At 44.5% G+C, this 25344-nt stretch overlaps 1 protein-coding gene across 9 annotated transcripts in view, besides 4 other annotated features; it reads left to right on the forward strand.

Annotated features, from left to right (window-relative positions):
• FOXO3 (forkhead box O3) overlaps nucleotides 46-25344 on the forward strand; it is a 124950-nt gene continuing 99651 nt past the window's right edge. For 3 of the 9 annotated variants that reach the window (NM_001415140.1, NM_201559.3, NM_001415150.1), the window contains exons 1-2: nucleotides 46-236; nucleotides 1307-2050. Coding sequence is in view for 4 of the 9 variants with exons in the window: in NM_201559.3 (NP_963853.1) it covers nucleotides 1430-2050 (621 nt within the window). In the remaining 5 variants the exon portion in view is untranslated. Of the gene's footprint in view, nucleotides 237-1137; nucleotides 2365-7392; nucleotides 7771-8453; nucleotides 9964-25344 lie in introns of those variants that run through there. The other 6 variants (XM_017010585.2, XM_017010586.2, NM_001415146.1 and 3 more) reach the window with 5 other exon arrangements.
• Nucleotides 952-1171: a silencer, noted in NCBI's record as "silent region_17454". NCBI's record gives its function as "represses an Ori minimal core promoter by ATAC-STARR-seq in GM12878 lymphoblastoid cells {active_cell/tissue: GM12878}" and the evidence as "EXISTENCE:reporter gene assay evidence [ECO:0000049][PMID:35858748]".
• Nucleotides 1615-2115: an enhancer, noted in NCBI's record as "H3K27ac hESC enhancer chr6:108882597-108883097 (GRCh37/hg19 assembly coordinates)". NCBI's record gives its function as "activates a minimal SCP1, AML or CMV promoter by ChIP-STARR-seq in naive H9 embryonic stem cells {active_cell/tissue: H9 hESC(naive)}" and the evidence as "EXISTENCE:reporter gene assay evidence [ECO:0000049][PMID:30033119]".
• Nucleotides 2927-3221: an enhancer, noted in NCBI's record as "tiled region #14072; K562 Activating DNase unmatched - State 1:Tss, and HepG2 Activating non-DNase unmatched - State 1:Tss". NCBI's record gives its function as "activates a minimal TATA promoter and a strong SV40 promoter by Sharpr-MPRA in K562 cells, with weaker activity in HepG2 cells {active_cell/tissue: K562 | HepG2}" and the evidence as "EXISTENCE:reporter gene assay evidence [ECO:0000049][PMID:27701403]".
• Nucleotides 5852-5921: an enhancer, noted in NCBI's record as "active region_24915". NCBI's record gives its function as "activates an Ori minimal core promoter by ATAC-STARR-seq in GM12878 lymphoblastoid cells {active_cell/tissue: GM12878}" and the evidence as "EXISTENCE:reporter gene assay evidence [ECO:0000049][PMID:35858748]".

Raw genomic sequence — 25344 nt, forward strand, 5'->3', positions numbered from 1 at the left:
GCCCTGCGTGTGTCTATAACTTTGTGCTGCTGCCGCGGCCGCCCTGCTCGTGGAAGGGAGGAGGAGGAATGTGGAAGGTGGCGGCGCGCGAGCTGACAGGCGGTTCCTCGGGCGGGCTGCGGCGACGGCCCGAGCGCTTCTCCTTCGCCGAGGTTGCGCGCCCCCTCCTCGCCGTGCCCCGGGCCCGCGCGGGATCGTGCGTCGTCCCGCCGCGTCCCTGAAGGGAAGGAAGCGAGGTAGGCGCCGGAGCCGTGCAGCGGGCGGCCGCCTTCCCGGTGACTCCGGATCTGCTTCCGAGCTGGGCCGGGCGCTTCCCTTTCCCCTCCCTGAGCCGCGGTGTGCGCGCCCCCCTTCTCGCCCGCTAGTGTTTTTAAAGGACTCGGGAAGGGGGAAACTGTCAAGATGGCAGCAGCGGGAGCAAGGAGGTGATGAACGTGCTGGTCCGGGTTTTCTAGCAGCCCGGGAGACTTGGCGCTTCCCGACCTGTTGGAAGATTTATGTTCCGACTCGCTCCCTCCCCCGGATCCCGACTGGGAAGGGGGCGGAGGGGACGACGTCCGCGAGAATGCAAACCACACAAAACCCCGAAGTGGCCGTCCCCGCCGGGCTCGAACCTCTGCGAACACCCGCTGGGCTGCTGCTCCCCCTTCTTTCTGTCTTTCCTTTATTTTTTGGAAGTGACAAGGGCCCATCTGCGCCCAGACCCCCGTTCGCCCTCTGGCCCGCGGGCGAAGAGGGGAGAGGGAGCTGCCCGCGCAGTCCCCGGGCTCGGGCCATTCGACCGGGTGGGGGGTGACGGGGGGTCGCGGAGGCGGCCAGGCTAGGAAAGGGGAGAAGAGCCGAAGACAGCACAGACTTGAGCGGCGGCGCCGCGGGAGGCACTAGAGCGGGCCCGAGCGAAACATAAACAAACGCACGCACACCCGAGCTCGGGCTCTGACCGCGGCTCGGCTGCGCCAGCTCCGGCCGCTGCCCGCTTTAAAGGCGCGGCCGCCCCTCCCCCGGGCGCCCCTCCCCCTTCTCCCCGCCCCGCCGCCTAGCCCGGGAGGGACCTGCGGCTGGGCGGCGGGGGGAGGGGGCTGCCCCGCGCGAGGCCGTCGATTCGCTCGCGGCTCCATCGCGGCCTGGCCGGGGGGCGGTGTCTGCTGCGCCAGGTTCGCTGGCCGCACGTCTTCAGGTCCTCCTGTTCCTGGGAGGCGGGCGCGGCAGGACTGGGAGGTGGCGGCAGCGGGCGAGGACTCGCCGAGGACGGGGCTCCGGCCCGGGATAACCAACTCTCCTTCTCTCTTCTTTGGTGCTTCCCCAGGCGGCGGCGGCGGCGCCCGGGAGCCGGAGCCTTCGCGGCGTCCACGTCCCTCCCCCGCTGCACCCCGCCCCGGCGCGAGAGGAGAGCGCGAGAGCCCCAGCCGCGGGCGGGCGGGCGGCGAAGATGGCAGAGGCACCGGCTTCCCCGGCCCCGCTCTCTCCGCTCGAAGTGGAGCTGGACCCGGAGTTCGAGCCCCAGAGCCGTCCGCGATCCTGTACGTGGCCCCTGCAAAGGCCGGAGCTCCAAGCGAGCCCTGCCAAGCCCTCGGGGGAGACGGCCGCCGACTCCATGATCCCCGAGGAGGAGGACGATGAAGACGACGAGGACGGCGGGGGACGGGCCGGCTCGGCCATGGCGATCGGCGGCGGCGGCGGGAGCGGCACGCTGGGCTCCGGGCTGCTCCTTGAGGACTCGGCCCGGGTGCTGGCACCCGGAGGGCAAGACCCCGGGTCTGGGCCAGCCACCGCGGCGGGCGGGCTGAGCGGGGGTACACAGGCGCTGCTGCAGCCTCAGCAACCGCTGCCACCGCCGCAGCCGGGGGCGGCTGGGGGCTCCGGGCAGCCGAGGAAATGTTCGTCGCGGCGGAACGCCTGGGGAAACCTGTCCTACGCGGACCTGATCACCCGCGCCATCGAGAGCTCCCCGGACAAACGGCTCACTCTGTCCCAGATCTACGAGTGGATGGTGCGTTGCGTGCCCTACTTCAAGGATAAGGGCGACAGCAACAGCTCTGCCGGCTGGAAGGTGCGTACCCACCCCGGGCTGGCAGCAGGACCCGCCGGGCCTCCTGCGCAGCGCGAGACGCGTCTCGGATTCGTCGGAGTGCGCTTGCGGGCTCCAGGGCAAGGGGTTGGCAGGGGGAGCCTCCGCTGCGAGGCTTTGGGGGTTATCTTTGATCCCCGGAGTCGGGGCACCTGGGGACGGTCTCGGAGGGGTGAATGAGGCTCCCCAGAAGCTTGGGGCATGGCCAGGTGAGGAGAGGGGGCAGGGGACGCCGGCGAGGGAAGGGCGAACGGACAGGAGTACATTTGCTGGATTCTCCGGACAGCACCGAGGAGGTAGGTCCGCAGCCAACTTTGGAGTAGAGTTTACCGTAGTGGGGGTCTGGTGCGGGCGCTGTGGCTGGAGTGAGAGGTGTGGGGGTGTTTGGGACGCAGTGTCTGGAGGAGGGGTTGGATGTGTGGTTTCCAGTCTGTCGCAGGAGCATGTTGCGTCGTCACTAGCTGAATGAGAACCTTCGGGTCCAAGTTTCAGCTTGTGGGTGTTAACACCTACAGGCACATCGATCCGATTAGAAAAAGCAGTGGTTGCAAACCTTTTCCTGGACGGCTTCCTTTCCTTGCCTATATTGATACCTTTTCTTCTCGGAGATGTCGCTCCAGTAAACCTGCTTCTGACTAGCTGCTTCTGAAATGTTCTGGGGCCTCGAACCGGCCGGTCTGGCCACCTCAATCCAGACTGGCTGCACCCGCTGCTCCCGCCGAGGCCTGGATTCAGGCACTGTTTGAGGGAAGGGCTCTGGTGTGGGGGACGCGGGGCCTGCGCTTCATTCACTCTGGCGTTTGGGAGGAGGTTTGGGGGCTGGGCCGGGCCGTAATGGCTTCTACCTGTAAATGAACCCGAAGAGAGACTCTCTACCGTTCCTTATCATCCTCTTGGGGCACGGGACACGTGGTAGGGAGAGAGGTGTGGAAAGGCCTATGATGTAATGACTTCCTGCAGTTGGGTATCCAAAGAGATTAACTCCTCTGCCCCTGCTGGGCTGCTGATATCCAGCTGCTTTCCTCTTCCTAGGCACCTCCCTGGCCCCTTCCCCCAAGACAGTGTGTGTCAGTACCAGGCCAAAGAGTCCTGTGCGATTGGAGATATACATCTCTTATCAGCTGCCCATATTTGCAATTTAGCTTAGATTTTTTTTTGTTTTGTTTTATGTAAAAGAAGTAGTTGCTTCCTCCTTCCCTTTCTTCATTGTCATTGGGGAGCCCTCTGTCTTCCTGGGTTTCAGGAGGTATAAAAATAAGAACAGTTTAATCTTAGTGGAGAATTCAATGGAAGCACTGGAGACGAGCCTGTAGATGAAAAAGTTAAAGAACTTAATGTAGAGAATGTTTTATTTTGCTTCTAGAAAACCCTTGCAAAGTTAAATACGGCTTATATCAGAGAGGCTTTGTATTAGATACTTTAAAAGCAAAACACGTGTGCTTTGATATTAATCCACTAATGTGTCTCATTTCTTTTAACAAATGCTTACATTATGAGTCTTATATTTGGTTTAATTCAATTGCTTTGTAAAAGAATGCCAGGTGTATGATACGAGAGTTCTTTACAGAAAGGATGAAAGTTAGACAATTCCATTTGAAAAGAGCACTAGTGTGATATGTTTTAAAACTGGGTTTCCAAGTGGATGGGAAGGGTTAATCAGTGTATAGTATCAGGAAGGCGTAAGCGGACAGGATCTGAGAACATGGATTTGGGGGTTCGAAATGTTTTTCAGATTTCTCTCACTTGAAATTTAGTCTTGCATGTTTGAATTTGGTGAGGAGAATACGTTAGTGAAAAGTTAGTTAACTTTAAACTTAGTTAAAACGTTAACGTAGGAAGGCGTTTTCACCTTTCCTGTGATTTTTAAGGTTACAAAAATAATTTAATTTCACAAATATTTCTTGTTATTTTGTTTATAGTTAAATATAATAAGTTTAATGAACTTTATTTTTGGGGGGAAGATTTACATGAGATAATGGTATTACCAAAAGTAGCCGCGAATTGAGATTGGGCTAGATACATTTTCATATAGTTTGTAGGACTTGCAATACAGATTTTGGGACTAGTCATAAACTTTATGGTTTTATGTCATCGTTTTTTTGTCTTATGGTTTTTTTTTTTTACCCTTCTCTGCTATCTCATTTCTCTTCAACTAAAATCTTAGAAAATACTGTAAATTGAAATTCTCAAGGCTTAATATGCTTAATACAGGGCACACATTTTATGATTCTTTTACCTTAAAATTTTTTACCAATTCCATTTCTGAGTGTCACATGACAACTAATCCTTGACGACTAAAGGGATATAATTTTGTTAGAGTTTTTATAAGATGATCTTCATCAAAAGATGCAGCCATGCAGGAACTTTCAAATCTTTGATGATGGAGAAGGCCCTTTGAAACTGGAGCTGGTTTTATATTTTGATTATGACTAATAGGCAACCTTTTTTTGTGTGTGCTTGTGGTTTAGTGGAAGAAGAGGGAAAAGGGAGAGATCAGGAGCTAATTGTGACCCATTTCCAAGTGTCCAAGTTTAGGAGTTGATTCTTGTCATGATTAGTCATTTTGGAAGCACGCATGTGCATTTAAACCACACTACTTTCATTCTGAGTAATGTAAGAGGATTTTTAACTTCCAAAAATGTCTAGAATTCAGGTTAACGTCTCCTAGTCATGTGTGCATAAAGGGCACGGTATGCAGGGCCTTACTTCTTTTCAGGCTATTTGGGCCATTGCATTATGAGACCTTGTAACCAAAATTATCACCCTAACATCATAAAATGAAAGAATTAGAAAAGAGGACTTAGAGATCAGAATCTAAATCAGTGGTTCTCAGCCCTGGTTGCATGTTTGAATTACCTGGGAACTTCTGAAAAATACAAATACCCAGAGAATTTGATATAATTTGGCTTGTGTGTGGCTTAGCATTGATGGTTTTGTGTTTTGTTTTTTTTTTTCAAGTTTCTTAGGTGATTCTAATGTATAGTTAGGATGAAGTTTTCTGATCTAGTTCAACCCTCTTATTTTACTGGTGAAAAACCTGATTTTTGGAAAAGCTAATGACTTTCTTAAGATCACACAGCTAGTTAGTAGAGAGGTAATTAGTAGCCACAGTTCTAGAGGTTTTTGTTTTCCATTTTCTTCTTTAAATTGATCTTTTTTAAAAGGTCATTTGCTAGGTAATGGATAGTCTCACATAAGTAGCGCTTGCTTTCCTGAAAGGCTTATTTGCCTCTCAATCTAAAAACATCTTGCTTATTATTTCAGCATCAAAAGGATGGGCAAATGTAGATGGAGGCTGAGTGAGTGTATCATGTTTGCATAGCTGTCCAGTGCCTGTCAGTAGGGGTACTTAGGAACTATGAAGTGATAAAAGAGGTAAGAAGGATAGCATTTTAACAAAAAGAGGAAGCCCTTGGTTACTTACATTTGTCAGATACTGTGTCAGGGAGAAGGATGATGACTATCTCACAGGTTCCCTTACCTCGGGCATTAAAGTAGAAATGAACAATCAGATGTGGTTAAGAGGGGAAAAGGTTACATTTCCTTTAATTCAGATTAAGCTTGCACTGCACCCATGATTGAACAAGTGAGTTCTCTCAGTTCCTCTTGTCTTGGGGAGACCTCTAAGGACGCCAGGGCTTACCTGGTAAGGCCTATCTATCACTTATTTCGTTATACACAGCACACATCTGCTTTTCCCATGGGTCAGGGTGTAATCAAATTAGGCAGACTTGAGTTTCTGTAGTGGTTCCCATAATTTCACAAGTGTGGGGGATACTGTGTTAAGATTTCTGCTGCTGCTGCTGCTGCAGAAGATAATTCTTCAAGAGTCCGAGTCTTCTTTCATGTAAGAATGTGTATTGTTATGGCTTCTTGCCAAGATAAAAAGATGAGGGCTGTCCTGTCACATAATGCTTATTTGTGTCCTCACTGTTTCTGTTCTTTAGATTAATACATCCAGTTCCTTTTCAACACACTGTATTAGGAAAATGTTATTTTAACTGCAACTCTGTTTTAAATTTTTTTTTAATTTGAAAATGACTAAGTCATAATCATTCCACATTGGCTCATAATTTTGACCTCAGTCACCTTTTGGAGTAACTCACCAAAAGGCCAGTTATGGTCGTGTGTGAAGAATCTGTCTGCTTGGCCCGTGTTGCCAAAATGTCGTTTTGTAATTTCCTTTGGCAATAGTGTCTTCGTCAGTGATTCTCAACTAATATACTTCCTCTTTCTACAGCCCCAGTACACTAGAGGGACTGTTTTTCCTCTTTTTCAAAGCTGTGTCATTGACCTCTGAAGTGAAGAAATTGGCCCTTTTAGACTTTGATCTGTGAGTCCCATGTAACAGAGACTCTTTAAAAAAGAAGCTAAGTGTGTGTTTTGATATGTTTATCTCCTTCTTAGAAAATGAAATGAAACTACAGCAGACTTATTTTTAGGAGATTTTAGGAGTGTTCTATTTTAAGAAAATGACACCATACAAGAACATCTTTTAGTTAAACTTCTTAGTACTCTGCTTGTGATTCTTACTTAAAACCTGCAAGATACTTTTATTTGGAAAATTAATGAAGAGGCCTTGTCTCACTAATAAGTCATTTAATTTGGTCTGGCAAAAGTTTACCATCCATTCAAAGATCTTCATGAAAATGCAAAGATAAGGCTGTTTAGGCTTGAGCCCAGGAGTTCAAGACCAGCTTGGGCACATAGCAAAACCCCATCTTATTTTTTTTTTAAAGACTGTTTAGGCCTGTGCATTCTGGCAGGTTGCCCCACTTACCCAGAGCAGGTGCATCAGATTCCAGATTCCCAGGGCTGGAGAGAATATGGAATTTATTTTGTTTGTATACCCACTTATTTTGCCTATAGGGACAGACTTGACCCTATTCTCAACTCCTCATTTCTCTCCTTTTCCTGCATCACAAATTGAGGGGTCCTGAAGAGCCACTTTACCTTTTTGGTGCTATAAAAGGAGCTGGGGATCATAAATGCAAAGACGAGTTGATATCAGTGGATGTTACAGCTGGTATACAGTAAGTGAATGAAAGATTGGAAAGAGAAAACCCTTTTTACCCATTTGCATCACATCCCATTTCATGTATTCAACAAATGTTTATCAAAGGCATGCTGCTTGCAGAGCATTTGCCAGGACTTAGGGATATAGTGGTAGCAGAAGGCAGATAAAGTTCCAGTTCACTCACAGGAGTTCATATTCTGATGGAGGAGACAGAAAATAAGCTATAGCATATCTGTGCTTTGTGAATTTGTCATTGCTGCCTATTCCCGTTGCCTTTTTTTTACATCTGTATTTCTGCTTTCTCTAGTACTTCAACTCTGCTAAGAAGTTGCTGGGAAGTGGCAAATTTGATGTGGGGCATGGCTTGGAGCTAGCCTTTAACTCTCTGCAGATCATTTTGAGCTTGCTTTGGAGATGCAAAACCACCGTACCATGGCTCCTGTGGATTGGGTCTGTTTGGGAGAAGCTTTGGTTTTCCAAGCTCCACCTGGATTAGATAGAGCACATCTTTGGCCCTGGACTGATCTGGGATCCCCAGTTCTGTCTCCCAGGGCCTGATGTAGATCTGGCCTTCCTCTGGAGTGGATGTGGAGCCTTGATGCCACTGACTCATCTGTATTACTTGTTGCCTAAAACTCAGAACTAAAAGAGATCTTAAAGATCATCTAACTACCTTATTTTGCAGGTGAGAAACATGCTAGGACTATGTGAGTGACTGGGTTCAGGGTTCCACAGCTAGTAGGGGTGGAGTAACGGGTGTGTCCAGTCAGTGCAGTGGTTCATGCCTATAATTTTAACACTTTGGGAGGCCAAGGCAGGAGGATTGCCTGAGGCCAGGAGTTTGAGACCAGCCTGGGCAACAAAGTGAGACCTCGTCTCTACCAGAAAAAAAGAAAACTAGGCCAGGTGCGGTGGCTCATGCCTGTAATCCCAGCACTTTGGGAGGCCCAGGTGGGTGGATCACCTGAGGTCAGGAGTTCGAGACCAGCCTTACCAACATGGTGAAACCCTGTCTCTACTAAAAGTACAAAAAGCTAGCCGGGCATCGTGGCGCATGCCTGTAATCCCAGCTACTAGGGAGGCTGAGGCAGGAGAATTGCTTGAACCTGGGAGGCGGAGGTTGCAGTGAGCCAAGATTGTGCCGTTGCACTCCAGCCTGGGTAACAAGAGCGAAACTCCATCTCAAAAAAAAAAAAAATTAGCTCTGTTGTGGTGGTGCATGCCTGTAGTCCCAGCTGCTTGAGAGGCTGAGGCAGGAGGATCCCTTAATCCCAGGAGTTTGAGACTGCAGTGAGCACGACTGCACCACTGCACTCCAGCCTGGATGACAGAGTGAGACCCTCTCTCTCTCTTTTTTTTTTTTTTTTAAAGCGTGTGTTCATACCACTGTACTGTAGTGTCTACTGCCTACCATTGTGGTTTCACAGCTGTTCATCTCAGTGCTGTTTGCCTCAAGTTCTTCAAGCTCTTCACTTGCTGTCTTCTGCTTCTCCTCCCCTCTTCTAGGCTAGCTCGCACTGGAGTCGCTGTGTTTCTCCTTTTGTGTTCTCCATCAGCACTCTCTACTTACCTTGCTAAATGCCTTTTCTTTCAACGCCACCTTACCCTGCCCACCCCATGGCTGCTACCTGTTTATTTTGTCATTTTGCTAAGACTGTTGAATATTTTTAAGCACAGTATAAGAGGCTTTAAATTAGGGAATGTGTCTGCCAGACAAATAAGTGTTTCTAATATTTGGAGCTGCTTTTTGGATTTTATAATCAACCCATATGGATAGCCTTAGTTCTGGGGCTGTGACTCTGAAAGGGGCTGATGTGACTCAGGAGTGAGCTGGTGTCATGAGTGGAGTCTTTTGGATACTTGCAGCTCTGAAGGTGGCATCAGCTTTAGACCTCCTAGCATCGATGTTGATGTGATGTGGTGTAAATGTGAGATGATGCTGTGCTATCTGGGGTTTCTTGCAGTGCCTTGTTACCCAATGCATAAGTCTCTGAAAACTCCATAAGTGTCCATCACTACTTACCACAGAAACTGAAGGAAGCCTGATCTTGGGATGACCTTGTTGCATTAAGAGAAAAAGGAAATGAAGTTTGCCATCTGTATGTAAACCCGCTATTTGTATCATCAACATGCAGTGTCGAGAAAGTCACCATAGAATTGTTTTGCCTAAAGTTTATTTTACTCACTTTTAGGAACAAAGCTGTTATGTAAAGCCTTAGTTGTTTGTAATGTTCTGCATTTTGGGGCAGAAGTCCCAAATGTACTTCAAGTTTTCTGTCCATGGATTGGGAAATAGAAGTCATGTATGAAAGGAGAGGAGATAGCAGACAGTCTTTGAGATGAACTATTTCAAGGACCAGTCTGCAGTTCTTCCAAGTTAGAGTTCTGAATATGTGGTTAGGCTAGTGATGATGATAGAACACCCCAGTTCTGACTGCATCATTGCCCAGACAGACCCAGTATCTTTCACCATTTTATTCCTGACCAAACAACGTTCATTTCCCAGTATCTTAGTCTCTCCTAAAGGAAAAAGAACTACGGTAGCTGGCATCCATAGAGTACTGTGATGTACCACTCTTGGTAAAACGGAAATGTCTGATTGGAGTGTGTTTCAAGCCAGGCTTTTCTATAATTCGCTTGTTCCACTTTTCACTCCTGAGTTTTTGAGGTTTTAATCTTGAGACTTTTTCTCTGCAGTGCCTCAGTTACTACTATGGAATAACATAATAAGCGAAGAGGATGACTTCTCTGCTGGGCTGTGGTTCTTCTAGTAATTCCGCTACTCCTGGGTCATTGCCTGGGGTGAGGAGGCCAGGTTATCTTCTGGAGGCTCACCACACCTTGGTGTCCAGATGTGCCCTAGGACTGCAGTGGAGAGGTGAGCACAGAGTAAGGAAAGCATGTGGCACATGTGTAGGGGGCAAGGCTGGAGCAGGAAGTAAACTCTCCCCCAAACAAACAAATAAACAAACAGCATACATTACCTTCCTTCTGGAGTGAACCTATAGTAAACCCAACAGAGATGTGTTTGGCAGTTTTCAGTACGTGTTTAGGAATTTGTTTGAAAACCATTAGGGGGTGGGGTGGGGTGGAAGAATCCACATCATGTTTTCCCTTGCGTGGTTTTTTTTTTTTTTTTTTTTTTTTTTTTTTGAGACAGAATCTCGCTCTGTCGCCTAGGCTGGAGTGCAGTGGCGTGATCTTGGCTCACTGCAAGCTCCGCCTCCTGGGTTCATGCCATTCTCCTGCCTCAGCCTCCCAAGTAGCTGGGACTGCAGGCGTTCGCCACCACTCCCAGCTAATTTTTTGTATTTTTATTAGAGACGGGGCTTCACTGTGTTAGCCAGGATGGTCTTGATCTGCTGACCTCATGATCTGCCTGCCTCGGCCTCCCAAAGTGCTGGGATTACAGGCATGAGCCATTGCACCCGGCTCCCTTGTGTATTTTTATTTTAAATTTTTTATTTGAGACAAGGCCTTGCTCTGTCACCTAGGCTGGAGTGCGGTGGCACAATCATAGCTCTCCACAGCTTCAAACTCCTGGCTCTCTCTGTAGAGAGCTATGATCCTCCTGCCTCAGCTGCCCTAGTAGCTGGGACTACTAATGAGCGCCACGACACCCAGCTAATTTTATGTTTTTTTTGTAGAGATATGAGGTCTCACTTTGTTGCCAGGTTGGTCTCAAACTCCTGGGTTCAAGCGATCCTCTTACTTGGGCCTCCTAAAGTGCTGGGATTATAAACATGAGCCCCTGCAACCAGCCTTCCTTGTATTTCAGATGTCTAGTGAAGTTAGTTAAGTTAGCCCTTGAAGGTATTGAGAATTTACTTTAAATTCAGAGCCAGCAGAGGGAGTACACAAGTCTTTAAGCTGATGTCAAGTATTTTTTTCTCCACACAGCTAAAATAATACCTTGATTATTTTTTAAAGAACTCTGATATATAGTGTTTCCATGTAAGTTTATTGTCATCATTAGAAAAGGAAAATTTAGGAGAGGGGGTGTGGAGATTAAAAACTTAAAGCAAGTGTTTTAAAGGAAACCCTGGTCTTCTAAGACCCATGATTTACTTCCCACTCCTAGATCATTAAATGAGAGTGCTTTTAACTGAAAAATATCCTCCCCTGCCTTTCATCTTTTTGCTACTCAGTTCCTGATACTACATGTTCATTTATACCTAACACCAAATTTTTACAGAGTAGTCACGTGTCTGGATCAGTGGGATGTTCTGTGTTTTAGTGCTATTTTGATTGGGACTTTTGATATTTTCCAAAGCTTCACAGTTGCTCATGGGTGAGAGAAATGTATGTATGTATATTGCTCTCAGGTAAGAGAGAAAGGTAAGGTAAAAAGTAAGAACAACATTATTTCCAATTCAAAAATGAATAGTCATGGATCTACAGGAGACTACTGTAACTTTGAACTTTTTGTAATTCTGTAATGCTATATCGGTTTCTCACCTCCCTCCACTATGCCCCATATTTTGGTGGTGGGGGTTTATTTTTGACATGGCAGTTGGAGAGGGTTAAATAGAGTTCCTCTAAAATTCATGTCTTCCTGGAACTTTAGAATGGTGACCTTATTGGGAAATAGGATCTTTCCTGAAGTAATTAGTTAAATTAAAGTGAAGTCATATCGGCTTAGGGTGGGTCCTAAATCCAGTGACTGGTGTGTATAAGAAGAGGAGAAAATACATAGAGACCCAAATAAGGCCGTGGGAAGTTGGGGACAAATATTAGAGTGATGCAGTTATAAGCCAAAGAACACCAAGGATTGCCAGGAGCCGCCAGAAGCTGGTAGGGGCAAGAAAAGATCCTCCCCTAGAGCCTTCCCAGGGAGCATGGCTTTGCCAACGCCTTGATTTTGGACTTCTAGCCTCCAGGACTGAGAAAGAATGAATTTTTGTTGTTTTAAGCCCTGAAATTCATGGTAATTCGTTATGGCAGTCCTAAGAAAGTAACCTAGGAGCCTAGGGATAGAAGAGTGGGAATGGCACAGTTGCAGATGGAGAAGAATAAAAAGACTTTATTTAGATTCAAATCAAAGTGTTAATAATCATTCATAGGCTACTTTCTTGTCATCTACATTTTGTCTTTTTTTAATCCTGCAGTGAGGACAGAGGGAGGCATGAATTTTCCTTGATTTCCCAGTTAGAGCTACTAGAACATGTCCCTCTTTTGCATTTTGAATAAGGTGTGTCCTTCCCCCTAGTCCCCCTCCTTACTGAATTTCTTTTTCTCTGCCTGTTTTGTGAACTGACAGTATGGCCGTGCTTGTTGATTGTGGACTTGAGGTTTACAGTAAGTCCATGAAATCTGGCTGAGGGCTTTGGTGTAGAAGAGTCTGTCTTTGAGGGGAGGGGAGGGAGAAGCCAAGGATCCTCAGTGGAAGAATAGTGTGGAAGAAGAAGCCTCCTTTTGGCCCTGTCAGGGCTTGAGAAGATGGAGGCATACCATGTTCACTGCCATCAGTGATGGTAGTAAGGCTAATCCAAATCTCTCTGGAGTCCCCTCAGTGTGTCCTATGGTTGGTTCAAGCCTTGTAGAGTCTCACACACTTGGTCCTTCAGGCTTATGTCTGCTCTGTTTATATTTACATTCAAAAAACCAGCTCTTCTTTTAAAGCATAGAACATGGAGTGGTTGTCCTCACAGAAACAGCAGCAGTAGCAGTAGATATCTTGTAGGTACCCAGTAGGTGTTTGGCTTGAAATGTTCAGACATTTAAGAATCAGAATTGCATCTGTTTATTCTCATATTTTAAAATTATATTTTTGGGGAGGGGTGTCAGGGTTATATTAGAGATATGTGTAGTTTTTGCAATAAAAAGAGTCTACACAAGACATTTTCTAGCCTATTTATACTAATAATGACAATAATAGTAGCTGTGATTTATTGAGCCCTTATTATGTGCCCGTTACTCAACTAGGTTTTTTATGTCTAATATTGATTCTATAAGATAGGCATTTAAATGTAAGCCTCAGTTTAAAGACAAGGAAATGGTTCAGGAAGGTGAAAGTAACTTGCTTGGGATCCAAACCCAGGGCTCTCTGACTTGGGAGCATCTGCCTTTTCTAGTATACTTTCCTGTCTCCTGGAGTGTGGGTGGGACTTTGGGTGGGGTACAAGAAATTAAAGAGCTTTTGGCCGGCGCGGTGGCTCACGCCTGTAATCCCAGCACTTTGGGAGACTGAGGTGGGCGGATCACGAGGTCAGGAGATCGAGACCATCCTGGCTAACACGGTGAAACCCCATCTCTACTAAAAATACAAAAAAATTAGCTGGGTGTGGTGGCGGGCACCTGTAGTACCAGCTACTCGGGAGGCTGAGGCAGTAGAATGGCGTGAACCCAGGAGGCGGAGCTTGCAGTGAGCCGAGATCATGCCACTGCACTCCAGCCTGGGTGACAGAGAGAGACTCTGTCTCAAAAATAAATAAATAAGTAAGTAAGTAAGTAAATAAAGAGCTGCCATTTAAAAAGTTTCTACTCTATGCTGCATTCTTTACCTCTATCCCCAGGAATCCCCACCTTAATCCTTCTGACTCCATCTTGAATGCTCATCTTCAGAGTTGTGCTGACTCTGAGTAACAGCACCTCTCTGTGTGCTGGTGGGAGGTGAACTTGGCTCCGTTATTTAGGCTCCTTCCCTTGATTTTTGCATGAGCTAAATAACTTTTAAGAATTAGCTGGGCACAGTGGTTCACGCCTGTAATACCAGCACTTTGGTAGGCTGAGGCGGGAGCATCACCTGAGGTGAGGAGTTTGAGACCAGCCTGGCCAACATGGTGAAATCTCGTCTCTACTAAAAATACAAAAAATTAGCTGGGTGTGGTGGCTGGCGCCTGTAATCCCAGCTACTCAGGAGGCTGAAGCAGGAGAATTGCTTGAACCCGGGAGGTGGAGGTTGCAGTGAGCCAAGATCACACCATTTTACTCCAGCCTGGGGGACAAGAGCAAGACTTCATCTCAAAAATAAATAAGTAATGATAATAATAAAGACTTATGATATTGGCCGGGCGCGGCGGCTCACGCCTGTAATCCCAGCACTTTGGGAGGCCGAGGCAGGTGGATCATGAGGTCAGGAGTTCAAGACCAGCCTGACCAAGATGGTGAAATCCCGTCTCTACTAAAAATACAAAAAATTAGCTGGGCGTGGTGGCACATGCCTGTAATCCCAGCTACTCTGGAGGCTGAGGCAGAGAACTGCTTAAACCTGGAGGGGCGGAGGTTGCAGTGAGCTGAGATCACGCCACTGCACTTCAGCCTGGGCGACAGAGCGAGACTCTGTCTCAAAAAAAAAAAAAAAAAAAAGAAGAATTAGCGCGTACCTGGGTCTTTAATGGGAGAGTAGGAATGGCTTGAGAATTCTGTCAGAAACCTGTTGGTTTGGTGATTCTGCAGTTCTCTTTGGTCACTGCCAGGTGTGACCATGGTTTACTATGGGTCAGAGGCACAGTGTATTATTTAGAAGAATAGAGTGACGCATGGTAGGTAGAAATCTTTTGGGATGGGGCCTTATCGCAGAAATTTCTGTGTTGGGACAGTAGGATATCTGTGCTTTTTATAGGCTTCAAGCACGTAGATGAATGCAGGCAGCAACATCAAGAAAAGCAGATTTCAGGAAAAAAAAACATTTACAAGGAGTTCTTGGCAGAAGTTTTGCTGCCAAATCAGAAATCATAATGAAAGATATTAAAATTATTTTGTGAGGTGGTCGTCTCTTTGCAGTGCAGTTACTGACGGGTTTAAGAGCAGGCTGCCAAGATAGAGACAGAAAATGTTGCATAATGCAAGTTGCTGGCCAGGTTAGTGTTTATCTCTACTGAAGAGCCTACTTGCTTTTGTCTTCAAGGTAAAAATATGTATGAATAAGACCTAAAATGGTGGTTTTAATTGGCCACAGGAAGGCAGTGCCGTAAGATAAAATGTAGTTAACAGAATAGAATGCTAATTATCCCATTTTGTTCTGTGTATGTTGGAAAAAAATTACAGAACTCTCAGTTTCATAGTAAAGATAGGTAAGTAGTGTCTGGATAATGTCCAGAGGATAGACTGAAACTCTGTGATAAACGTGAGCAGGCAGCAGGATGCTACCTGATAACTGAGTATAACAGCATGCAGGGGAGGACTGTGTGGCTGGAGGCAGCTGCAGTAGAAGTTGGCAGTGCCACTGTGGACTTTTAAAGGGACAACTCTGGGTACAAGCCTGAAGTGTAAGGAGGACATAAAATTAAATACAATTGAGCTTGTCTCCTTGAAAACTGGTTCTCTCTTTTTACTACATTAAAAAGATCAAGTGGACAGTTAAGTCATTAATTCAGGTAATTCCAATCACAAAACTACTTTTTTCCTGAAGTGTCCTAATCATTGATTTTTAAAAATGATATTTCTTTCATCATAAATTATCAGCATAATTGCTTTGGTTCCATATTTCATATTAAGCTTGGGCTGAGTGATGTTTAAAGCCTCCTGCTTACCTTCCCCCCTTTTCTTCCTATTTTATTTTACTTAATACCTAAAAAAAAAAAAAAGAAAAGAAAAAAAAACCTCGATGTAAATTATTTTCTTCTGATACTGTGATGGTTTCATAGAGTAAAACACTTTCCTTAGATCTCTTCATTTGAACATTTCCTGTTGATAAATCACTGAAAACAAAACAAAACTACCTAATTTAAAAGCGTTGCGATGGGTCTTCCAGAGTTTTTATCTTACACATAGCTGTTCTAGGGCTTCCCACCAACATTTATTTCCAAACCAAGGACTTGTTTATCTCATCCTTCATACTTTTGCATTTCAGTCCGAATTGGATACGGGTTTTTGTTGTCTTTGTTTTTGCAGTAGAAAAACTTCAGTTGGTAGGATGAAAAGGAGAACAAATCTTTATTCACTTTCAGTATAGTTCCATTAACAGTATTAATGTGCCATGTGTGAATATACCTGTCATGCAGACTGAGGCCCACAGACTAATAACATTTTGAGCAAGATAATTTTAAGTAAAAACTGAAGCTCTGAACTCAAACATTCTTTCAAATTTCTTTAAAATAATAATGATCACTTAGATGAGGTGCATCATTTATGTAACCCTGAAAAGCCTGGAATTGACTTACGAAAATGTCATAGGCCTGATTATTTTAAAGTTATCTTCGAGCTGATGCTGGTGTGAGCATGTTTGCTTTAGAACACATGGACTCTTAAGCTCATGATAGATAATTTCCTAGGTGAGCTAGTATACTGTTTCTTGAAATTAGTGGCCTTGATCAGCCCTTCTCTCTCCAAGCCTGTCCAATAAAGATAAGTTTACAGCCTTCTTTTTGAATAGACACATGTCCTCTGCTGAACTGAATTATCTAAATCAGTCCTATTTAGTCTCCTCCCCTTACAAGAAAGATCCTTATTTCAGACTGAAAGACTAGGTGATTTGGGCCATATTTTAGGTTTTATCATACTTACCCTTCATGTCATTTGTTAAGGTCAAGTTCAGCATTTGACTGTGGACATAATTTTTAGTAGGTGTTCCTTGGGAAGAGGCTTATTGGGAAGAGAAGTTTATTCCAATAGTCTCATAAAATCAGTGAATGCTTTGAGTTAATTTATCAGCAACCTGTGCTGAATAAGCAAGGTGCCATGTGTTAAATTAGGAAAGGTAACGTGCTGCTAGTGAAAACTGTGTCTTCTAAGTTGGCTTTAAAATAAATTGTTTACCAGATTAATGTTTCAATCAAAAATTACAATTCTCATTTTTAAGATGCAGCTTTATCCACATCTAAGTTTTCTCATCAGCCAAAAAAAAATTTAAATGGATGAATCTGTTTAGCTTATAATGCAGTGGAAATACATCTGGATTTTTATCTCTGGGCCCCCAGTGTTTGCCCTGTTGATGTGAGCAGAGATGATTTTCACCTGACATCTTTGTTGCCTGCTTGGAGAGTCCTTGCTCTTTCCATTGACTGAGTAGTTCTAGCTAGTTTCTTTTGTGTTCATTGTTCTGCCTTAAACAGGATCATAAAGCTTTCAAAAATTTTTTTTTCAGCTTGTTACCTCATGTGTCTGTGCTGGCCAAGAAGGAAGAGAAGAAAATAACTTTATCATTTGCATCACATGATTTTACAGCTTTGAAAACCCATTTGTCAGTGTGGTTACTGGGAGGATGATTGCAGCTATTGAGTGCTCTGAGAGTTACTTCTTTAATCTCTTCCCTCTTCTTTCCCCGTTTAAAAAAACAGTTAATTTTGCTGAGGGAGAAATTTTATTGTTTTTTTGGTATATGATTTCAAAGTTGAACCTTTAAATGATTTGTGAAAAGTTAAAAGTTCTTTGCCCCAAGTTCTTAGTAACTCTTCTAAAAAAAAATAGTATACCTTATTAAGAGGGTTTCCTGGCATGTTCTTTGGACTGTTACCAAGTCTTTGGCACACGAGGGTACTTCCTTGATCGTCTAGCCATTTCTGATTTTTGAACCTGAGACAGCCAACATTGAGTTGATCTCTAGATCAGCTTTACAGAATCTAACATAGTAACCTCGGTTTCACTTGTCCTGGGCACTCCTGGCTGCTGTTCCATTTTTGTCTTTTCCTTTTATATCTACTACACATTGTCTAAAGAGGGCTTATTCCCCTTCTCTTTCCTATCCACTGGTCACCTTACTCCAACATCAGTGGTTTTCAACCCTGGCTGCATTTTAGAATCACCTGGAGAGCTTTCAAAACCACCAGTGCCTAGGTACCATCCTAAGGCAGTTAGGTCAGAATCTCTAGGTATGGGGCCTGGGCATCTATGTTTTTTAAGCTTCCCACGTGGTGATAATGTATAGCCAGGATTGAGTGCCTCTATTTTAGAGACATTAGATTTTGGCTGTGGAAGTTATCAGCTATTTTAGTACTGACTTTTAGATGCATTTCAGCCCTCTCCTCCATAGGAAGCTCCACATGACAAGGAGTGCTGTAAAGTTGGGATTAAAGAGTAAGGTTGGCTTCTAAGGGCAAGAGCATTATTATCACTTAACAAACTGTGTTTAACTGGGGTCTCCTCTTCTTTAATATAAATGCATGTGATGTCTTTAGTTTCCAACTCCCACTCATTTTTCTAGTCTCTACTGGACCCTAGTTAAGTTATTTTGAAGTTTTCAGGAATTTTTAAGAAGAGATGGTGCTGTTTTAAGTCATTGCATAAGACTTGAAAACTGAGAGATATAAACTTACTGTTCTTTTGTGCAACCTAATCTGATATACCAGAAGATTCCACCATATCCTGATGTTTGAAGGTAATGGTTCTCCAAGTGGTCCCTAGCTCAGCAGCGTCAGCATCACATAGGAACTTTCAACATCACGTAGGAACATCACGCAGATTCTCAGGCTTACCCCACACAGACTAAATCAGAAACTCTTTAACAAGCCCTCCAGGTGATTCTACTGCAAGCTGAGGGTTCAGAACCACTCTTTTAAAGTCATTTGCTAAGTCTGTGGAATTATTCTGGTGATAGGAGTAAAAAATCTTAACGTCGCTTGCCATCTTGGCTTCAGAATCATGGCAAAAATGGGGAAAAAATATGGTGGTATCTGTTGAAATATAACAAAGCTCTAGCCCCTTGAGTATTTTGGACTTCCCACAGATCTGTGCTGCTCTGTAGCCTTCTGTACAAGGCAAGGATACTCACCTCTCAGGATCACAGCAATAAAGGATCCACTCAGGTGTATAGAGGAAACCACATGTTCACCTTAGTGCATATATTGTGTTCACAGAACTTGTGTTTAGGTTGGATTCATGTTTTTTTTTGTGTGTGATCTTTTTCTCTTGTTTGTTTTGGTCTTTTGAGGACATTCCTAGTTTTAAAACCACTATCAGACGGGAGTAGTTGCACTGACTCATCCCCAGACAGACATGGGACATGTGAGAGAAAGATAGGATAAAAATGTGCTGGGTGTAATCAGTGTGAGAGGCTCAGTGCAGTGAAGGGGAGAGTGACACGGCTCTCGTGATGAAGTCAGAGGTAAGGCGGGACATTCACCTCGGCTCAGGATCCTAAAAGGCGCACGACCTCTTGCACCACAGGTGGAACCAGGTACAGATCCAAACAAGTATGCTGCTTGTCAGTATCATTGGACTCTGTAGTCCATTAAGCAGGGCCTCATGATCAGCTAGCTATATCAAACCTAGCTGGTGGCTTTAGGAATGTAAATAGTGCAAAACACAGTGGGTTGGCCAGTTCTGGATGTTCATGTGAGGGTCTTTTACCAGCTGTTTCAGAATGTTGCCTGAGATTCATAAACACTAAAACAAAACAAAACAAACTCCAGCAGGATGACTTTGGATTACAGTTCATTCTGCTGTTAGTGGCATTCCTTTTCGTACATGAAGCCATATCCAAGATGATATGGCTTGAGTGCTAAGCCTCCGAGGTACAGTGATCTGGGTTTTCTTCTTGGGGGAGTGGGTAGGGCAGGCCAGTCACTTTCCTCAGATTCACCAAGATTCCTGGGAAGGGTCAAGAAGGCAGGTTCGGTGTTGGAACAACATCAGAAGGTCCACATGGAAGGGAAAGCTGCACTGAGGGACTTCTGTCTGGGGTCAGAGTTTGGAGGAAAGTCCAAAATATTGTGCTGTTAACTGTGAACAGCATTCCAAATTGAACTCCAGGAGAGTACCAGGGACTTGTACACATTGGAAGTCAGATACAGCTGGTGGGCACTGGAAGTGCTGGGGACAGTAGGATCCTTTCCAGAGCCATCACCACTCACAGGTGAAATGTGTCAACACACGTCAGTTGCTCATCCATTTTGGTTTTCCCAAAGCATGGGCCTCTGCTTGCATGTTCTGGGGGCAAGGAGAGAGGGTATCTTGAAAGGATCTGGCATCAGGATCACTTTCACAGAGGAGTAAAACATCTGGTAGCAGTCCAGGAATAAAGCCTGCCCAGTAGCAGTCCAGAAGGCTTGTCTCTCAGCCCAGAGAAACCCCCAGTCCTTGGCTTCTGTGTCTCAGACCTGGAGATAATGAGGGACATCACCTGCTTGACCCCTCTTTGAACATTTCCTTAAGGAGGCTATAGAGGAGGCCTCTGGTTTTGAGACGGTCGGTGTCCTGACTTCTGTGTGCTGCTGAATTACAGAGTTGAAGTTTGAAAACTCTTAATTCCTCCCTGCCCAAAAGGGGCAAAAAGGGCTAAATCTTCCTTCTGTGTTGGTGTGAATGGGTGTGATGTATACAGTCATAACCTTAGATTTATCTATCATTTTCATGGCTGTAACTAAAAGCTACGGTTAATTGAACATTTATTAGCAGTGTGCCAGACACTGTTGAGCTTTATGAGTATTAGCTCTTCTTCATTTTTTTTTTTTTTTTTTTTTTTGAGATGGAGTCTCACTCTGTTGCCCAGGCTGGAGTGCAGTGGTGTGATCTCGGCTCACCACAACCTCTGCCTCCTGGGTTCAAGCAATTTACTTGCCTCAGGCTCCCAAGTAGCTGGGATTACAGGTGCCCACCATCGTGCTCGGCTAATTAGTAGAGGCGGGGTTTCACTATGTTGGCCAGGCTGGTGTTTACACATTTCAAACTCCTGAACTCATGATCCACCCACCTTGGCCTCCCAAAGTGTTGGGATTACAGGCGTGAGCCACCGTGCCCAGCCTTAGCTCTTTCTCTTTACTCATGAGGAAACTGAGGTACGAAACGGCTAAGTGACTTGGCTGAGGCCACATAGTTGGTAAGTGATAGAAGTGGGACTCCTGTATCAGTATGTCTCCACTTTGACTAAGGGAACTCCAAAGTCAATTTATCCAAGCTTCAGGGATCTTGATTTTGTAATACTGAGACCTCACTGGCTTGTTCTTTTCTATCATATTTCCCATTTTGGTTTAAAAGAAGAGAAAGGGAGTTTGCATGATCCGTTAGAATTGTAGATGTGTTCTACGTAGCTGTCATTGTTTGAGAACCCATAGAAAGAACAGAGTTGAGTGTTAGGTTGTAGACAAGCATTCACATTGAACACAAAAGGCTTTTCAGACTTGTACTCTTGTGAAGTGTGGTTATTCTTAGGGATGGGACACTTCAAACTGCCTTTTTTCTCCAGGCTCTAGAGCAGATGTGATATTCCAGCAAGGGTGACCCAGCTCATCTTTCACAGATTCAGAAATGAGACACATAGATGAGTTTACTCTAAACTGCACTTAAACTTTCCTGTAGTCATTGCTTTCTCTCCCTGCCCCTGCCCCTTCTGTGGAAGTTGAAGCAGACTAATTGTATATCATCTTTTGTTGAACAGCGACATCGTGCTTGGAAGCCAGTGGGTCATTTGGGTCTAGTTTTCATTCTTTTCTTTGGATCTGCTTCACAGTTTAAATTAGGCCCAGGACATTGTATATGGTGGTTTAAGAAGGTGACTGTAACAGGCAGATGTTGAAAGATGGAAGCAGTAGGAGGAGGCCAAACTGTGGAGGACAGGGGTAATAACTGGATTGGCAAATGGGGGTTGAGGAGCATGGAAGGCAGCCCAGTCAGAATACCTTGGCAGAGGCTGGAGGGTTGTAGTTGTGTGATTGTGATGAAATATTAGGGGTGATGGCTGGGTTTGGAAGAGTTAAGCCGTTACAAAATTTCTTCAAAGAACATTATCAAACAACACATATGTACTGCTGATTAAGCAATATCATTAATGAGCCTGCTTTATAATTTAAAATGCAAGCAGATTTACTTTCAGTTTCAGTCATGGAACCATTGAGACACTTTGGGGAGGCAAGTGAACCACTGCAGTTCTTTCTATACTGGAAGGAAAAGGAGGAAAGCAAAGTTATTTTGTGGTTTTGGAGTAGTTTAAAAAAAAAAGTTTTGTGTTTTGATAGTGCCTTCCAAAGAGTTCAGCATTATGAATCATTTCTTCTTTGTCAAGGTGAGAGAGGCATTCTGTCTGTGAACTAAATCTCCCAAAGTCTTCAGTGTTTGATGGGCAAAGGAACGAGAGGAAAGAAATAGGAAACTGCCATGCCATCTTTCCCCCATTATCTCCCTTTCATGAAAAATGATCTGTGGCTCGCTGCCAAGACTTTGTTTAAAAAAACTTGGTTGTCTGGTATTTCTCATCTGCATGAAAAATAAAAAGTGTCTCCATTTTTTTTCTGAGATAAATGGTAAAGATAAAGCTTTCTTAATGTTTAAAAATATAGGCTGCATACTCTCCAAGAAAAAAAGCCCTACAAACAATGTCAGCTATTTTTGGAATATTATATAAACAGTTTTAACTGTCATATAGGGACAACGTATTTTTCCTGCACTCCTAACCCTCACAGGAATAAAGGACATTGGCCCTTTCTTCACTGGCTTGGTATAGGCCATTTATTTACTAGCCACCTAAATAAGTGCCTACCAGCTGCTTTTAGGTGAAATCTAGGGACCATCCTAAACATCTTATGTGCTAGGTGTGGGAAGCAGGCCCAGCAGGCTTGGGCTGAATAGAAGTAAGAGTTCCCAGCCTTGTGTTGTTGTTGTCCCAGGAGGCAGATTTTCATCTGTGAAGTCATCTGGGAATCCAGTTGTAAGTTATATCCAGTTGTAAGAACTCAGTAACATCCCTTTGCTCAGTCCAGACCAATAACATTTTAAACAGTTGCTGGACTTTTTAAAATAAAAATTTTGTGTTTCCTGCCATGTAAACAGAGATGTTCCTAAAAGAAAATAAATGAACCATTTGTCAGATAATGCATTTATTCTGGTTACCTTAATCCCTTTGTTAGGTTTTTGTCATGGAGATAGTAGATGACAGCTTTGAAGGGATGTTAAGCAGTGGGGTTATTTTTTTTTTTCCCCAAGGAGACAGTTTTTAGGGCAGACTTTGAGTATTTTTTCTCTTGTTTTTGAGTGTGTAGCTGTATATTAAGATGGGAAAGCTGACTCTGACCCAGGAAAAACAGGACGGTAGGCCAGTCCACCTGCTGGGTCTGTTATTCACATTCTTGTTGGGTGTAACTGCCTTCCATGTGACTCTCGGTACCCCCTTCTCAGCAGCCCTGCTTTATGTCCCTAATGTTCCCCTGTTCATCTCACCTGGACTGCTTCCTGAGGGATTTTCTAGGGGAAGGACTAATCTGAGATGCAAATTAATGCCAAATTGATGATGGAACTCCTGAGTCCTGAAACGCAGTGCCTTGGATGTCATCTGACTTACCCTTTATTTTCTGGATGAGGATATTAAGGATCAAAGATGTAAAGGAGGTTACTTGAAACCACCCAGTGAGGTCACTCTTACCTGTGAACTGACTCCGTGGTCACCACCATTCTTGCTGAGGAAGATCTGCAGCTGTCTCATGAACATATGTAATGTGCCTGGATACAGTCCTCGCTTCAGACTCACTACTTTATTTTCTAGGGAAGAACTAGGCTTTTTATTTCACTGTGGCTGGTGTGGGGGCATTCGGTGAAAAGGTAGCTATGGGAGACAACAGGCAGCCAAAATGCTACCTAATAAACCTTTGAACCTTGAAGAAGGATTGCCCGGTGGTAGCCCTATTATCCAGAGTGATGGGGCCTGAGTTTTCTGAGTGGTTGTAACTTTGATGGTTGTGACTTTGGGAAAGAAGTATATTGCATGTAATGTTTCCAAGAATTAGTTACTGTGTGCCAGAGGAGTGGGCACATAAGCTGGATCAGTGGCTTTAATGGGCAGCAGTTGGCTGCAAGAGAAATTTGCAGTTTCACCAGTCTTAATGCTGGGCAACCCATATATTAAATAATGTTTGGTACACTTGGATATCTTTTATTGGGAATTAAGCCCCCAAAGCAGCTTTCTGTAACTATTAAAGTCTGATAATGCTAAGCTCTTCTTCAGGCACTGGAGAAGTTTGGCAGTCTCTGGAATAAGGAATTTGTTTGGCTTTGGCACTGATAGCCAAAATGCCACTTCTAGTCACTTTAAATGTTACCAAGATTTCAGTCTCATTGCCGATTATTGAAAGGTCTGTGGCAAATAAGATTTCAGTGCTGTGGTGAAGCAATCTGTGTGTGCTTTAAAGGTAAATAAAAATACAGCACATTTTCTGAGTATAATTCTCGTAGACAGAGTTTTGTTGGTCACCCAGATGGTTGGAAGTTCTGGTCCTTCAGCAGTATGGGTTGGTGGCAGTGGTGCTGGCTTCTGCAGCCTGTGCTGGTCCAGGCCTAAACTCAGGGAAAAGTATACATGTCCAGGGCTCATGTGACTTGATCATATGGGGGCGTGCTTCATAGGTCACAGCCATGGTTATTCATCCATTTAGTTTCATTCCGCCGGCACGGTAATGCATGGAATAAAGATGGACATACAAGTGGGCATTGCTTCTGGTGAGTCTGCAGTATAGTGGGTGATAGGGATATGCAAACAGAAAGTTGTTTTTCTTGGGAGATGGCACTAATCCACCTTGCCTAGAAAGAAGGGAAGTCTTGCTGAACTGTGCATCCTGGCATGTATCTCTGCCATCATTCATTATTTTCACCTTTGATAATGAAATTTCTGACAATACAGGGTGTTGTTGGAGTTCATTTTTTTGTTGATAAAAGTATTACTGTAATCAAAGAATTCCTTGCAGAAGTTTTGCAACCCTCAAGGAAAAGTGATAAAAAAACAGACCCTGCATGATGGATTGCAGGTTTCAGGGAGGTGGGAGTTGTCCATCCTTTCGCGTTGGCTTTGCTTTTGTTTGTGTAACCATGAAAGGATACTGAGTCTGCTTTTTGTAAAGGAGATAACTTGGTTCATCCGTAACATGCAGAGTGTTGGGTGAATTAACGAGTGGAAGGCACGTAATGATGTGTGGCACTTATGTAGTATTTTGATGATTTCACCTAGAATCTTGCCATCTGGAAACTTGCATTTACTAGGATGTAGAGCCAATTTTGGTTGATACTGAGTCCAATGTTTATTTAAAATGGTTTAGATTTTCATTTGGCTAAAATCTAGGAGGTTGTAGACTAATAGAATAACAATAATGATAGCCTTTCCTAAGGAGCTCTGAATAGCCTCAGTAGTACTATAGTGAGAGGTAAAAGACAAGAATCTTACCTTATTTCATAGTGATGCAGTTGAAACATGGTAGCCTGCACAGGGTGGTAGAGCTGGCCCGTTTTGAAATGAGAAGTTGAATTCCTGATCTATGGCTTTGGCACTTGCTTTGCCACCAAGAATTGCTATCTCCAAAATCTTTTTTTTTTTTTTTTTTTTTTTTTTTTTTGAGACAGAGTCTCGCTCTGTTGCCCAGGCCGGACTGCGGACTGCAATGGCGCAATCTCGGCTCACTGCAAG

This window comes from Homo sapiens, chromosome 6 (genome assembly GCF_000001405.40).
Source record: "Homo sapiens chromosome 6, GRCh38.p14 Primary Assembly".
NCBI lineage: Eukaryota > Metazoa > Chordata > Mammalia > Primates > Hominidae > Homo > Homo sapiens.